At 45.3% G+C, this 17270-nt stretch overlaps 1 protein-coding gene and 1 long non-coding RNA gene across 2 annotated transcripts in view; one reads left to right on the top strand and one right to left on the bottom strand.

Moving 5' to 3' along the window:
* The window catches only part of KCNJ6-AS1 (KCNJ6 antisense RNA 1), a 222067-nt gene extending 207548 nt beyond the window's left edge, over positions 1 to 14519 (top strand). The window contains exons 6-8 of the long non-coding RNA NR_183540.1: positions 2370 to 2490; positions 3745 to 4641; positions 12321 to 14519. This is a non-coding gene — a long non-coding RNA (KCNJ6 antisense RNA 1). The remainder of the gene's footprint in view (positions 1 to 2369; positions 2491 to 3744; positions 4642 to 12320) is intronic.
* KCNJ6 (potassium inwardly rectifying channel subfamily J member 6) overlaps positions 1 to 17270 on the bottom strand; it is a 309085-nt gene that overhangs the window by 118811 nt on the left and 173004 nt on the right. The window lies entirely within an intron of this gene.

The following is a 17270-nucleotide window of genomic DNA, read 5'->3' on the forward strand; positions in this document are numbered from 1 at the left end:
GTGTGAGCCACCACACCTGGCCAGGCTTACATTTAAAATCTCATCCATTACCTCCCAGTACTCATGGTCATCCTTCCTTGTTTTACTGTTTTCTTTTTCTGTCGTGTTTTTCACCTTCCAATATGGTAGATGTTATTGTTTTCATTTTTAATTGTCTGTTGGCTCTTGTCAGAAGGTACATTCCAGGAGTGTAGGGATCTCTTTCTGTTTTATTCACTGCTAGAGCTCAGGCCCTGGAAAAAGCACGTGGTACATGGAGTAGGGCCACAGCACTTATTTATTGAATGAGTGGGTGTATGTTTATTGACCTGGCAAATTGTCCATGCCACAGCATTAAGAGAAGCAGCAGCATAAGAAACATATGGTCTACTTTGCAAATATTGCCATCTTACAGTAATGTGTGCATGTTTGTGAATGTGTGTGTATGTGTGTGTGTAAAGAATGAATGTTCTCCAAAGTATAAATTTTGATTAATCTCTGAGTTGTAAGTTTCTGTGGGTGTCTTTGCTTTCTCTTTTAATTCTTCTATTTAAAAATTTCCCCTAATATGCTTCTACCATCTAAAGAACCAGTAGGAAACATAAATCTATTTCTATTTTGAATAACCAAAACAAATGCTGCATAGAGCTACTGGGAGCTGTCCATTGGACTTGGCAATAGGGATTCACTAGTGTTGTGGATTGAAGGGTTCCCCTCCAAAGTTCGTATCTACCCCAAACCTCAGAAGGTGACCTTATATGGAAATAGGGTCTTTGCAGATATAAATAAGGTAGGGGTCAATATATGATCATATGGAATTAAGGTGGGCTCTAAGTCCAATTAGATGTCCTCATAAGAGACGAGCAGAATTCACAGGGACATGGAGAAGCAGCCAGATAAAGACAGAGGCAGAGACTGCAGAGATGTGGTCTCAAGCCAAGGAACACCCGGAGCCAACAGAAGCTGGAAGAGGCAAGGAAAGATTCTCCCTTTGAGCTTTTGGAGGGAGGGTGGCCTGCTGACACCTCGACTTTGGACTCTGACCTCTAGATTATGAGAGGATAAGTCTCTTTTGTTTTAAGCTGCCCAGTTCATGGTATTTGTTATGGCAACCCCTGGAAACTAATAGTAGGGGTGACTTTGGTGATGGTGGTGTTGGTGGAGTGGTGGGGTCTAAGGCAGATTGCAGTGGGTTAAGGAGTGACTCACCTGTGAGGGAGTGAGGGACGGTGAGTGTAGATGAAGTATTTAAAGGCAGAGAGAGCTGGAGGGGAGCTGAATGGAGTGAGGACTCACGTGTGTGTGTGTGTGTGCATGGATGTGTGTGCATGTGTGCACATGTGTCATGGGTGTATATGTGAACTGGGGGAGTTTTGAATACTTTTACATGTTGAGAAGGAGCCAAAAGGGTTTAGGTTGATGTTATAAGGAAGAGGGAGAGCCGGTTATAAGGAAGAGGGATAGTCGGGTGTTTGATAGAATAGAAGTCAAGACAAAATGCTGCTGAGACCTCTGGTAGGAGGGTAGGCTCAAATGGAAAAAGTGATGAACTTCATCCCAGAGTGGTGGCGAATATTTGGGAGGAACGGAGAAAGATGGGGGAGAAACAGAACCTTGGAGACAGTTCTCTTAGGGTTTGTATCACAAACAAGCCTCAAACTGGCTCATTTTTGAGTGTGAATTTCAAGAATGCTCTATTTCAGTTGATTCATTGAATTGAATCTGCATCTAGCAACAACAACAACAACAACAAACTGAACTCAGCATAATCACAGATCAAGCAAAGCCTTCTGCATCTTGACTGGTCAAGAAAGGCATATATAAATGAGTATTTGTATATCCATGTTCATAGCAGCGTTATTCACAGTGGCCAAAAGGTGGTAGCAATTCGAGTGTCCATCAACAGAAAAATGGATAAACAAAATGTGTTCTATCCATACAGTGGAGTATTATTCAGCCTTGAAAAGGAAGAAAATTCTAACACATGCTCCCACATGGGTGAAGCTTGAGGACATTATGCTCAGTGAAATAAGCCAGACACGAAAGGACAAGTACTATATGATTTCACTTACGTGAGGTTCCTAGAATAGCCAAATTCATAGAGACAAAGCAGAATGGTGATTGCCAGGGGCTGGAGCAGGGGGATTGGGGAGTTAATGTGTAATGGGGACAGTTTCTGTTTGGGAAGATGAAGAGTTCTGGAAATGGATGGTATTTCCATTTACCTTGAATGTATCATTGAAGTGTGCGCTTTAAGAATCGTTAAAATGATAAATTTTATGTTAGGTATATTTTACCACAATGAAAAGGAGATTGTGCTTAAACACAGAAAGCATAAATATATTTAAAATGAGAGATCAGCTTGTGACTGCATTCTTGTCTCATTGCAGGAAGAGCTTACAAAGAGCTACGATGCTATAGCTCCAGACTGAAAAATGGTGGGATTTTGCCATCATATTGATTCCTGCGATCTTGGATTTATAACCAGTTACTAGTTAGTGATGCCTCTGGGTAGGTATGTGTGTGTGTGTGTGTGTATATATATATATGTTTGAATTGCAAAGCAGATGTAGAGAAAAGCGTATGGAGAGAGACGCTTCCATTTTATGACCTAGACACATGTGAGAGATAATTCAGAGCTGTAGTTACAAGTGGAACCAGAAGTTCAAAATCAGTAGTTTCCTTTTGGTCCCTTGCCCTGATGTTTATCCTTTGGCATAAGTCCTTATCTGAAGTCTTGCCCATCAGCGACTGGTGATAACACTTGTCATTTGTGTCTGTGTTGTCATGTGAAGGTGAGCTGGTTTTGATTTGCTGTGTCCCTTGAGCTGTTGTGACTAGGGGAGACTATTCTAATCAGAATTCCAGACAGACCAGAAAGTTTGAAGTCATAGGTGTATGTGGTAGAACAGATCCTACATCCCATGAGGACCTGGTGACAGCTTCTAAAGGGTAAAGGGTCCTATTAGCATTTTAGCTTGGGGACCCCACAATGTGAATTTAAATTTAGAATGTCTAGTACCCACTGCAAGGTCAAAACACTGATGTTGGCTGCCCATGGCATATGGCTGGGTAAAATGTGCAATTTCATTGCTTAAAGGAGATAAACGCCACGTCACTCTGGGCTGGATAAAGGAGACAGATATTCAATACCCTGATTCTTCTTCTTTTTGGGGGGGGGGGCAGGGTCTCACTCTGTCACCCAGGCTGGAGTGCAGTGGTGCGATCACAGCTCACTGTAGCCTCAACCTTCTGGGCCCAAGCAATCCTCCCACCTCAGCCCCCTAAGTAGCTGGGACTATAGGCACGGGCCACCATGCCTAGCTAATTTTTGTACTTTTTGTAGAGACAGGGTCTTGCCATGATGCTCAGGCTGGTCGTGAACTCCTGAGCTCAAGCGATTCACCCACCTCAACCTCCCAAAATGTTGGCATTATAGGCGTGAGCCACCATGCCCAGCCCCTGATTCTTCTTTAAAGCGATTTCAAGAATCAGGACTGTCTACAGTTAGTTAGAACCATTAAGAACCTGTCATGACCATCATGTACAGCGATATAGGTTGTCCGCTAACAAAGATGCCCAGATGAGGGGAGAAAGAGGGTGGAAACCTAGTCAATGCTTCCCCTGCCAAGACACATGCCCGTTCATAGGGCTGAGTCCACCCAGAGGAAAGGGCACCTGTGGTAATTTGCACAAAGGCACTGTATGGGCTAGCAGCAGTCCTGCAACCTCAGATGTCATTTACTTCATCCTCCTTTTTTTTAGATGAACACATGAAGAAAGTGAGGCCCAGGGAAGCCAACAGATTTGCCAGGAGGCAGAGCTGGAGTGAGCTCCCAGACCTTGGGATCCTAGGCTGTCCGTTCCTCCTTCTGTGTTTCCCTGAAGCAGTGGCTGCTTCAGGCTATTGTCTTGCCCAGGGACTGTGGAGTTGGTGGTTTCCTTCTGAGAGCAAGAAGAAATCTATTGCTCCTGATTCTTCCAGTGTGGAGCTTGGAGACAGCCAGTCCTGGGGAATCCCAGCTCTGCTGCCCACCAGCCAAGGGACCCGCAGCCTTAAGTCTTCATATGCAAAATAGGGTGAAATGTCCACCTTGCTGGGTTGCTGGGAGAATGAAATGACATAATGAACTTTGGGAGCCTGGTGACAAGGTGCTTGGCTATAGTGCCTGGTGGGCCTGGGTTGGAATCCAGTTCTCCCAACTCCAATCTGCAAGTATTTGTTCAGGCCACTTCTGCCTCAGAGTCTGTTTCCTCAACTGCATAATGAAAATAATAAGACCTACCTTGAAGAGTTACTGTGAGAAAGAAAAAAATCCTGCAAGGATGGCACCTGGTCCACAGCAGCCATTGAACAAATGACAGCAATTATGATAGTGTCTGGGTCGAAGAAGGTACACAATTTGTAACTACAATAATCACTATTTTTATAAGCTCAACATTGTCCTGGAAACTGTGGGAAATCCAGAAATAATCTAAGAAACAGATGGGCAGACCCATCTGGAAGCTAAGAGCCTGCTTGGTAACACAAAACCTGCATAGTGCCCCATATCAATGTGCAGTTGCATTCTACACTGTGGACAAGAGGCCAAGAATGTTCTAGTGCATCAGAGACAGAGGCCAACGGTGGCTGGACTAATTGGCAAAGGCATCACAAAGGAGGTGGGAAATTATTGTGGCTCTGATGTGTGAAAGGGAAAAAGCCAACCCTTACTGAATATCTATTATGTGCCAAGTACTGGGCAGGGCACAACAGCCCACAGGGGGAGTATTGACCCGTCTTACAGATGAGGCAGTGGAGGTGCATAAGGTTCAGTCACTTGCTGAAGCTTACATGTCTAATATTCGGTGGGGATAGGAGATTGAACCCTCCATCAAGTTGGTCCCATTCTGAAGCTTGTCTTCTTTCCTTTCTGCCATTGCAGATAGATGAGAGAAGTGTGTGTGTGTGTGTGTGTGTGTGTGTTTGTGTGCCTGCATGTGTGTACAAGGTGAGAAAAAGTGGCAACAAGAAGAATCTTGCCTCACTCCTGTGTTAATAGAGTAAATTACCCCAGTGGAGCAGAAGAAGTGGAAATAATGGAGTGAAAGATTTAAGGGGCTTGTGTTTGGGATATGGGTCAACACTAGAGAGAGGATGCTGGGGATGGAGGAGAAGGGATAAGGCTAATAGAGAAAAAAAGACTTTCTAAGATTTGATGGCAGATTAAGATCTGGTAAGTGGGAAGATCCTGGTGTCTTACAAAATCATAAGTTGGGAAGGGGAACTCGCAGCTAGGGAATAGGATGAACATTTATTGAACACCTACTATGTGCCGGCATTGAGCTTTGTAGCTTCACATCTGTTTTCAGCTTTATTCCCTCCCCTTAATAAATCTGTGTGGTAGGCAGCATCATTGATCTGAGAGAGGCTGGCTACCTTGCCCAAGGTTACACAGCTGCAATTGGGTTTGGTCTTGGGTGATTGCTCTAAGTCTAGGGTACTTTTTATTAACCAAACAGCACAGAAGCATGAAACACCCAAGGGTGCTGAGCAGACAGATGGGCTGTCTCAGAGGATGAGAGTATAGAGCAACAATCAAGAATCGAGACCACCAGATACTTCAGGAAGCATCCACAGATAGTGCTCAGGAGGAGCAGAGGGTGCAGGCAGTGAGAAGGCGGAGGAGTTAGTGGAAATGAGGGGGCTCTGCTGATAAGAAGAGTCCAGGATGAGGAGGCCAAGGTGGTGCATTCAGCAAGGGAGAGGCCCTTCCTAGCAAGGAAGGAAACTCCCAGAGACTCTGAATAGGGTGGTCAGGATGGAAGTTCGACTGCAGGGACAGAGGGTGATGATGGCTGAAGCTGCAAGACACACTCATCTTAGATGAGGAAGGGAGATGGCAGCGTGGCTGGGGAAAACAAGCATGACACCTAGTTTTCCAAACGAGGGAGGGGAAGCAACCAGTAGAAATGAAGCAGTGGGACATTCTAGAGGGAAAGCAAGAACAAGATCTCCCAGGGATTGGGAAGAAACAGAATGAAGGTCAAAGCGTTGCCCTCAGAGAGAAGATGGGCCCCTCCCTGTCTGAGAGACACAATGCCAGGCACAGCAGGGTGTGTGGGGCTGGCCAGACTGGTCACCCCTGCTCAGAATGTGACAGTTGTTCCAGTCTTTCCAATGGATTGTGGTCACCTATCCTGGAGTGTCCATAAATTAGATCAGACTTTTCAGTCTTGAAGAGGGGCAGAGAGAAGCGAGAAAGTGATTGCTTGGTTTTCCCACTCCAGTTAAGACACAAGTCGCCCTCTCTTAGATTCCAGAATTGTGGAAAGCCAAATCTTCTAAAAAGGTCTGGTGAGCTTTAGAGTGAGGAACGGGGAAGCTATTTCGGAAGAACTAGTCTCTGCATGACTGATGGGCAGGACGTTTCCTCGTCAATTTTCTGGGGCAAGACCGATTTGGATTTGCTTTGATTCCACCACGTCATGGGTTCTCACGACAGAGGAAAGAATAGTCAATCCAAACCCTCACATTAGCCGGAGTTCCAATTTTAGACAGATGTTCCAACCCACTTCCCACAAACCCGCTTCTCTTAAGAATTCTAGCAAGTGGAAAATTGAATTTCATTTTCTCTGCTGTCCCTCTCCTGGGGATGACAGAAACTGGGTTTTGAAGGAGAAAAAAGGGTCCCAGGTAATTCACCCAGAGCAGTGACCACATAGTTGAGGGTTAAGAACAAACTGATCCCCACAACTCAACACCTGTTGGGTAGCTCCACCTGGTACCAGCAAGAAAAGGGGGGGCTGGCAAGCAAGCATTCAAGGGTATTTTCCCTGCTCTAACAAGGTATGTTTAATTCTACAAGAAAACTGTTATTTCTCTGCATCATTTTCCCTCTTGACTTCACCTTTAATGCACACTCTATAGACGTCCTGTTGTTTAACTTTGTGCTTGCAGTTAAGTGTTAGCATTTTGAACAAATTAATGCTGACTTCCTCTTTTCCTATAAAGGCTGCACCCTCTGGATGTATTTCAGTGATTATACTAATTCCTGCATCAATAAAATAGAATTACTTTTACTTAAACGTGGCTTAAATTCCTGGCGATACTTGAGTGGAATGCAAAAGGCCTATGTTTTGCACTTCATTGCATCTGTGTTGTTCTGGAGAAATCTGCCGTTGGTATTTCGGGGGTCTTTTGAAGAGGAGTCTGCTCTCTGTAATCATTGCCATGTTTTATTTGAGCTCTCGGAGATGGGCATTTCCTTTGCCTGGGTTTTGTGGAGGAGACATGCACTAACTAGATTTGGGGTTTCAAAGACTCAGGTCCTCAGATAATCACTTGGTACCTGTTCTTTGGCCAGTGGCCAAACATCTCCGCATCTCAGCATCTTTCTTCTAGGGACTGTTGGTCAACAGCTTATGCTACCAACTTCTACCCTGAAAAATATTCACTTTTTTAGGGTTTTTTAGGATAAAATAAGAAATTTCTTTTAAAAGAAAGCTTGATGTGTCTTTGAATGGTCTGATGCATTGAATAAATTGCATGTCCTTTTTCTAGAAAGCAAATGAAATAATTTTAGTTAAAAGGTTTCATAAGGCAGGTTTCGGTTGATGGGAGCGCAATGTCTCCCTGTATGGTCACATACACGACTGTGTTTTGTGAGTGTTGCATTTCCCCAGGTTTCAGAGAAGAAAATGATTCTTTTCCTCCATGGGTCAGACATGTAGGTGTAGTTCTTCTCTCAGCCTCTGCCTTCATTTCTCAGACAACTTGGTTTCCTGTGAACCAGGCACATGCATGTTCTTCAAAATGGCCCTGGATTGAAGCAGGCCACCAGTTTCCATTTAGCCTTAGCTGAATGAGAAGATGTTCAGTCCTGCCAGCTTCATTATCAGCAGGTCTCTTGCATTTTAAGTGTTTTTCTCAATTTGTTTGAGTCATCCTGTTGTGTACCCTGAGGCTTTGAGGTACCAGAAGACGGAGGTTGAAATCTTTACAGTAGATGTGGGCTCCTACCTTTCTATTGTGTCAGGTTCTAGGAATATCATTTTTCTTCTCAAAATGACTTCACTAGCGGGGAGAAACCAGCTGGTTTTTTTCCTGGTAGGGGTGGCTTGAAGATGCTCCCACGGGGGAGGAATTGAGGGGCTTGTGACTTTGTGCATGGATCTCTGCTCTACTAGTTTGTGCAAAGTGGAGATTGTGCAGACCCTAAAATGTTGTACAGAGGAGAGCCCAGTCTAAGGGTTCTATAGCGGAGAGAGCACCAGCGAGGAGTTCTTGGATCCAGTGGGCCCCCTCCAATCCCAGGAAGCCTCTATAAATTGATCTGTCTTAACAAAAAGCCTCAATTTGTAGCATTTGTCAATTTTTGTGGTGTACAAGCTCCCACCATGGCTGACTGCAAACTATCACCTGTTGACCAGCTCACAACATTCCCGCTATTTAACGATCAGCTGTCATGAGCTGATACGAGCTCACTGCAGCACCTCCACTGAAACAAGTCCTACATCCTTGCAGTGGGGGTGAAGGGATCCTATTTTGCTGGAAGGTGGTGGGAAGGAGGGGGTGACATGGAAGGGAAATAAAGGGATGCAGGTTTGGGAAAGGTTGCCCACTCTGTCTCCCTCTTGGAGAGTTCTAGAACAAGTGAGCCTATTAAGGGCTCTGAGAAATCCTATGATTGATATATATAATTGCTTAAATGTGCTTTCCCAAACTCATTTGAGCTTAGGATAACCTACGCACATCTTGGTTCTGTGGAACGTATTTGATATTTGGTTTGGCGGCTCCTGGAATGAATGACAGGAACGTTGGAGATGGGCACACCCCCACTATGCCTTCTTCACGATTCGCTCAGGGCCAGCCCAGCATGTCCCCGTTTCCACCTGACACAGCCCAAAGCTGTCAGCCCAAGCATTCACTGTCAGCATCCCCTATTGTCCTCAGCGTGCACCGACTCCCGCTCCCTTCCCCTTGCCTCAGTAGAAAGAGACATGACTCAGTCAACCAGCAACAAGCAAAAAGGAGAGTGACATATTACCCAAACAGAGGAAGATTCTCTGACACAATGGGAGGTTAGCTTAGACTCTGTTGCTAGACTCAGAGGGTAAGATGAAAGTAAAGGTTCTAAAATAGAATCCTATCACCAGAAACGGGGACAGCCTGAGGCTGGGATTACCTACAGACCACCCACGGCGCTTTCACCTTCACCCACTCCAGTTTTTCCCTATGGGTTTGCAAATGGAATCATTCCATATTCGAGTGCGGTGCTGCTCCTCCAGCTGCCAGGAAGCCCCCAAACCTCAGCACTGTAGGCTCTGAATGTGTTCTGCATTTATCCCTCCTCCAGCCCTTCTCACTGAAGCTCTCAGCTTGGTGAATGATGACTTGGCAACTAGGGAGGTCGGGGCCAGGGCCAGTGTAGTATCCACATTGGGCTCCACCCCATAGACTCCATGCAAGCCCCCTGACCTTCCCTTGAGAGTGATGTGTATGGGCTGTGGGAGGAAGGGGTGTGTAAAGCCTGTGACTTTGCTTGGTGGAAACCCACAGCTGGAGGCAGAGGACACAGGGACACCTGCTCTGAATGAGGCCTGGAGCAGCCACTTGGAGGATGCTGAAGGCACAGCTCCCACCTCTACGGCAGCTGTGGCAGTGGCAGTGGCAGCTGGGGCAGAGCTGGGGAGAATTATTAGGGGAGAAAGAAACACAATCAAACGGCCTTCCTTGAAAGGTTTCCTAAGGGAAGAGAGCCTGGGGTATGGAGCCCCATCTATGGGATGAGCCATTGGGAAGCACATGGGGTCAGCACTCTGAGAATAATGGAGAATTCTCCCCCTCCGGGCTCTGACTTTTTCGGTAGCACAGACTTGGGTGAACTTCAGGTGGAGTCTATAGTAAAGTGCAGCCTAGGGGCTTGGCTCAAAACAGATGAGCTGAAACGTACATACCTGATGGCTCAAGCACAGGCTTGGAGCCCCATCTCTGCCATTTTGGTCCCATAACTTCTACCAGGCACCTCCTGTGTACCGAGCCCTGTGCTAGGCCCTGGGGATGCAAAGACCAATAAAACACAAATCCCTGCCAGGGGAACTCAGGGTTCTTTTGTGGCTTAAAACTGGTCTGAGTCTGGGGGTGAGGGTGGGGTGGGGTAGGAGACATTTTTTTGGAATGAAATAAGACATCCTCTTAAACACTGTTTTGGAGTTGGGAGTCACTGCTTTATGAGCATGGGCTTTCCTTTTGGGGTAATGAGAATGTTTTGGAACATGATGGAGTTGTTGGCTGCACAACATCATCAATGTACTAAATGCCTCTGAAATGCACTCTTGTAAATGGTTAATTTCACCTGAGAAAAGAGAAGTTGCTTTTGATGGTAAAACTCTAGAAGTCCAACACCTCTGGAAGGTCATGTGTCTTCATCTGCCTAAGCCTGAGAACCAGGGGTGTGCAGGGTAGACATCTGAGAGATAAAGCATGGTGGCATGTCCATCCAGGGCCAGTGTCCCGATGGGGAGATGGAGAGAGGGAGGCACAATGCAGGGGACTCCTCCATGAGCCTGGGCAGCCTACATCCCAGCCCTGTTAAGGTACTGTTCACCTCTGCAGCCTGCAGCGCTGACAACCATGCTTGAGGCCAGGTTGGAACATCTGGCAAGCCATTAATACCTGGTGACTGTGATGAATGCCTATGAGCTCCAACTGACTTCAGCATTTCACGGTCACCCTCCTGGAGGCACCGTCCTTAATAATACTTTTATGCAACTTAGACACGAGTTGCTGCGCTGGGCTGTTGCAGTTGACTGGGGGACAATGTGATTTTTCTCCTGACATGAGTTTCCTAACAAATTACGTTGGGGGCACGATGCTTTTCCTTTTGTGAGATTGGACTTTCTCTTTTATTGTGTGATGTTCTTTTCCTGTGTTGTACTGATATGTTACGGGGGGATCTGCAGAGCTTCTTTACACAGCACAGCTTGTTTTTTCTCTGAGGTCCTCACTGTGCATCAGTGCCCGATGGCAAGAGAAGACCTGTTTCATATTGCCTCTCTCTGGGTATATGTGCTACAGGAGTACGTCTCATTAGGGGTCAGAGTGGCCAGAAGTAAACTGGATTTGTGCTTATCAGTCATTTATTCCTTGAGGTGATTCCTACTTTAACCTGAACTACTTGGTGGATTTTCATCAGACAGTGGAAATATTTGCATTTTCCTTTTTCTCTCAGCTTGGGTGGCAGTGTTTCTCTTGCAAAATTAGCTGCATTTGTAAAGTGAAGCAGAACGAAAGTCAAGAGGGCGATTTCTCTGTTGGCGTTTGTTTGTTTATTTTTCCAGGATCATCTTGCTAAAAGGAAAAGTTTTCCTAGCAATAACCTTGCGATATCTTTAGGCAGCTCTGATCATAATTGATCTGCAGTCAAGTCTTCCATCCTGGAAGGAAAATATCCGGAAAGAGGACTTGATTCCCTTCTGCCCAGTCATAGTCTATTTAGGGTGAGGCCTGAGTGGTGTCTGGGGACAGGGTTTCTGGGGACAGAGTCTGAGTCACAAAGTCTCCCTGCTGATTCTCTGCTCACCAAGCCATGTACTCTGGTTTGGGACAGTTGCTGCACAGAAGGGGGCAGATTCCTGCCCGATGATCTTGTATAACCCTGCAGTGGCCCCGTCTAGGAACCCAAAGACATTCTGGTTCTATGTTTGTAGAGTATATTTTAAGGCCACAGTGAATGAACTTGGAAGGAGATAGAAGGATTTGCCATTGAGATGCCTTTTTGGTAGACAGCATGAAAACTCTGGGCTTCTCCCTGGGGTCAAACCATGCTCTGCACCTGGCCAGCTCTCCAGGAAGCCAAGGTGGAATGATGGGTTTCAGGACAGTGGTTTCTCATACTTTCCAGGGCTGTATTTGTTTAATGCTCACACTCTTTTTTAACAGTGAGATTTTGAGCACTTTTGAGTCTCGGCTCACACAGACAGCCAGCATGGGCCATGGAGACAGGCAGCCCTGGGGGCCAACTATGGTTCCCCATTTGGTGTTCTGTGTCTCCTGGGGATGACTTATTAATAGCTCATAGATTACAAACGGCCTGTACTTCCCTGCCCTGTGGCTTGTCTACTGCAATGCTGTTTGGGTTTCATGCACTTGGGATATAGTCCTTTTAAAATTACATTTTCTCCTGCTTCCATGCTTCTCCCCCCTGGGGCCCATTGGCAAAGCCTGTGTGCTTTGCTGTGCCTCCCCTGAATTATTCTTGCCTTCTCCAGCAAAGGTTTATTTGATTTCTTTAAAGTTACTTGACTGAATTCTCAACGCAAGTACATACACTAAAGTAATCACATCTGCTCTTTTTTAGGGAAAAGTAGAAATCTGCACTCTTGTCTCGACTTTGCCTTGCCTGCAGAACTCAACATTTGCGAATGATGTGTCCTTGAGAAGTCATGTTTTACCCAGTTTTGCAAACTTTTGGCTCATATCATAAATTCAAAGATGCTGGTGCTCCCAGTCTTAGTGCTAACATTTCTATTTATACCCCTTTCCCTGAGCCCCAAGAAATGTTCTTTAAACATATTCTCAGCTGGACCAGAAGAGATTTGGTTTGTGTGTTTGTTTTTAATGGGCCCTGCATTGACTTGGATAATGCTGTTGAAAACACAGTAAGATGGATTAAGTGCTGGATAATTCTCCTTCTAGCACCAATACTCCCTAATAACTTTTTGATACATACAAACAAAAACATCCTCTTTAATCTGCAAATTCCTCTTTGGATGGGCTGAAGGGTAAGGTTATCTGGAAAAAATGAGTAACTTCGGCAGAGAGAATCCTGTGTCAGTCACCAGAGGAGAAGAGAGAAAGCTGCTTGTCTCTTGCAGACCTGTGCTGGCCAATACAGCAGCTACCAGCCTGAAATTTGCCTGGTCTGAATAGAGATGTGCAGTAAGTGTTAAACACACAGGGGATTTTTGAAGAGTAATAATGTAAAAGTAAACTATCCCATTAATAATTGTCATACCAATTACATGTTGAGCTTTTAATATCTGGATATAGTGGGTGAAATAAAATATATCATTATTTTAATTTCACCTATTTCTTTTTTCCTTTCAAAGGTTCATATTATAGAATTTAAGATTATGCAGGTGGCTGGCATTATATTTCCACTGGGCAGGGCTGTTACAGAACATCCAGTACTGAGGAACGCCAGCTCTTAGCATGTTGGGAATAAAATTGATGCAAAAGGCAGTCCCTTGGTTGGCTTAAGTCAGAAGAAAAGGGCTGCTTATTAGGGGGGTTTAACCTTTTGATGTGGAAGGAGCTGAGGGCTCTGTAATTGGGAAAAAATTAATAAGAGTTCATAATGTGATATAATAAGGGGTATTGAACACAACTAATCAAAAAATGGTTGGGGAATTGCTGATAAACGTGTGTAAATATGTTCCCTCCTAGTTTGGGAGCTGTGGCTACTTTAGCCCGCTGGTTCAATTGTTTTTCATTTTTTTGAGTGCTATGCAAGCTCGTGTCAGCTTTCTGCACACCACTAATAACCCAATTTGTGCCTGATTGGAGAAGCTTGACATTGACAGTATCTTATGTTGATGCCATGCATGATGGGGTGAGGAGGGAGAGAGGGAGAAAAGCTCCTGGAAAAACGGGCATTTACAAATGGGAAAAGTGAACTGGGAGAGGGCAGTGTACCATTGGCTTGGGTAAATATTCATTTTATTTATTTATTTAAAAATTTTGGTTCATGAACAATTCTTTAGGTTTGAAAAAAAAAAAGATCAGGTGTTGTTATCCAGGGCTGAAGAAATGAATCATGGTCCCAGCTTTGAAGCACCTGTGGCAACATTGCCAGTCTCCCTGTTCTTTCCTGCTAAGCCCATGACTCCAGTGTGGCTTGTGGAGGAAGCTCACTGGGACTATTTTAAAACGTGTGCCCAAGGAAGTGCAAATGCTGTGCCCAGCACTACTACAAACCAGTAGCTCTTGTAAACCAAAAACAAAATTTGAACGCCCCCCAACCATCTGAGTGGACTTCTTCCTTGGCCAGGGCTCTCCTAAAATTTAACCTGAGAGACTGGTTCAGGCCATTATGGTAAGTGGGGATTGGACACGCCTTATTATACCTCTCTGGCATTAACATCAACACAGACCCGAAGTCTGATAAGAATCGGTTACAATCTACTCTCTCTGAAGCCTGCAACCTGGAGGCTTCAGCTGCATGATAAAACTTTGGTCTCCACATCTCTTATCGCAACCTAGACATTACCTTTCTATTGATCCCAGGTCTTTAGATAAACTCAACCCATTGTCGACTAGAAAACATTCTAAATCTACCTATAAACTGGAACTAACAACCCCCCTCCTTTGAGTTGTCCCGCCTTTCTGGACTGAACCAATGTATTTCTGAAATGTATTTGATTGAAGTCTCATGTCTCCCTAAAATGTATCAAACCAAGCTGCACCCTGACCACCTTGGGCACATACATGTTCTCAGGACCTCCTGAGGGCTGTGTCACTCATATTTGGCTCAGAATAAATCTCTTCAAATATTTTACAGAGTTTGACTCTTTTCATTGACATTCTTCTGCCATTCCCCTGTTCCTGGAGGCTCAAGGACCATAAACTTGAATAGCATGATTTGGCTTTGGTTTGAGCCTATGCCTTTAGGTTTAGATCTTTGCCTAATTGACTAGTAGACTTTGCTGCTAAAAAGCATGACTGCAAATCTGATAAACACTCCAGCTTTTGCCTTTAGATCTCTGACCAATTCTCCTTCTCAGTGACTTTTCCTGACTTCCTCTTCTGTCTGTCCCCTTGAATGTTGGGGGTACCCCATGGTTTGTCTTCAGCCTCTTTTTCTTCTCATCCCTCACTGTTTCTTGGGGAAAGGTCTCCTGTGGATGAAGCGCTCCCTATATGTAGATGACTTCCTCATCTAGCTCTCCAGGTCAGATCTTTCTTTCCCTCAATTTCTTTGCTGTCATATTGACTTGCTTGCAAGATATTTCCACATGGATTTCCTGTAAGAACCTCAAAATAAACATTTTTTCAAGACAGAGATTGTTATCCCCATGCTGTCTGGACTAGATATTCTCCATCTGTCCCTGAAGAGTCCCCCCACACCCTCTGGACTCTCTCTGCAGCCCAGGAGAATGACCTTTCTGGATGTACCTGGTCTCTCATGTCCTCTGGCTTCCTGTTGGGCTTGGCTCATGAGAGGTTCTGGTGGGAGATCAAAGAGTAGGAGGAGAATGGAACCTTTCTATTAAGATGGGTTGAGTTGAAATGGGCTGTGTTCCTCTTCCTACAACCATAGTCCCACTCAGTGGTCCTCTCTCCTGCAGCTCTGTCTGGTTTCCTCCCTTGGCCCCTTTAGACTCAGGGTTGTGATGGCTCTAGATGTTGCCAGCCCTGGGTTCCTCTCCTTTCCTTCTTGGTGACTAGCCTTGCCCATGCCTCCACAGAGTTCCTTTTCTAAGCATCCTCATCACCTGATGATTGTTCCTTCTTTTCTGCAAGGCCCCAGCTCAGACCTTTTCCATGTGGCCCCTCCTGTGCAGGGCTCTGTGCATGGCACCAACGCCAGCCCAGGATACCAAGCCAGCACCCAGAGGCATCTTTGTGTCTCCATCTTTCACCCCACTGCCAACAGATGCCAAGTCCTGTGGCTTCCTTTTCCTAAAAGCCTTTCCTCATGGTCCCTCTTTGCTGTCCCCAAAGCACCAGAACTCTTTGGGTTGTGGAAATAAGTGAAAATCAACCAAGTGAGGAAAACAGAGGCTATTTATTCACACGTGCTGTAGTAAGGGACCATCACGTGCATTTGGTAACGGCCCAAAGGCAGGCAGGGGAGTGAGAAAGCTTCATGTTGGAAAAGGGGGAAGGCCTCAGGCATGCCCTGATGGAAACTGTCATCATGGGGAAGCTGCAGGTGAGCTACCTAGAAATGGACATCCTGTGTGATTGGTGAGGGGGCATATTTGACTTTTACCAATTGGCCTTAAGTTGGAAGTAGGAGCAAAAATCAGGGAAATTTGGTTATTAACCAAGTCCTGGTCATTTGGGCCAATTGTTACAGAAGTTATTGTTTAGCTTTCTGGAGTGTCACTGGTTTCTTGCAAGGCTGACTTACAACAGGCTGGCTTCCTGGGTTGTTTATTGTAGAAAAGCAGTTGGTTTCCTGGGCAGGTGGCTGCAGGCTGTGGGTCCAAGTGCTATTTTTATATGTGGTTGGCCACTGTCCATTTCTGTATTCAATCTCAGGGTCAGTTTTTAATTAACTGTTTTTTTTGTTGTTGTTGTTCTGGATTATAAAGATGGTATATACTCATGTAGAACATTTTAATTAACCCAGAAAAATATTAAAAAGAAAAACACCTTGTATCCTGCCAGCAGAGGTAACCATTGTTGACATTTCCAGGAACATCTTTTCAGAGATCTCTCTGTGCATTGACACATTCATACATGAGTGGCCATCCTCTACAAAGCGTTCTGTAGCCCTCTCATCAGTTTTCACTGGGGTTGCTGTGGCAGTCACCATATCTAGATCACTGTTCCAGTCTTGCCAACATCCACTTCATTTCTCACAGAGCTTCAGATTGGGCTCTCTCTAATTCAGATTCCATCAGTTCCTGTCCTGCTTTAAATTGTTCAGTGGTTGCTCATCAAGTCCAGGCTCCCAGCAAGGCTCTCTGGGCCACTGATGATGTGTCCTCTTCTTCCAAACCTTCCATCTCTTCTCTGCACTTGGGGGAACTCAGGATTCTCTAAGGACTGTGCTCCTTCCTGCAGATGTGTGCCCACATGTTGCCTCTGTTGTCTCCCAGGCTCTTCCTCAGCCCCCATAGACTAGCGAAATCCTCAGGAGTCAGCTCAGACTTGCCCTTCCCTGGAAGCCTGCCAGAGAGCTCCCAATATGTTTAGTTTCTGTCCTCACCACCCAGTGCCTGCCTCTGGGACAGCACTTAGCCCACAGGATGACAGTGGCTGGCTTTCATGTCTCTTCCCTGACAGACCCTCAATCTTCAAGGTAAGCAACTATGCTTTACTCATTTTGTCCCCAGCCCAGTGTCTGTGATGGTACCTGAGACATAGTGGAGGCTCAGGAGACATTGCCTGAATAAATGAGGTGCTGGGTGGATGCAATCATATGTATGTATGTGTGTGCATGTGTATGCGTGTGTATATGTGTGTGTGTGATACATATATATCTGTAGATGCCCTGATTGTATGTCAGCTTGCTGTTTGGGTACCTGCCATGGTTTGAATGTTTGTCTTCTCCACAACTCATGTGAAATTTAATTGC

The sequence above is a fragment of the Homo sapiens genome, chromosome 21 (genome assembly GCF_000001405.40).
Source record: "Homo sapiens chromosome 21, GRCh38.p14 Primary Assembly".
Taxonomy (NCBI): Eukaryota; Metazoa; Chordata; class Mammalia; order Primates; family Hominidae; genus Homo; species Homo sapiens.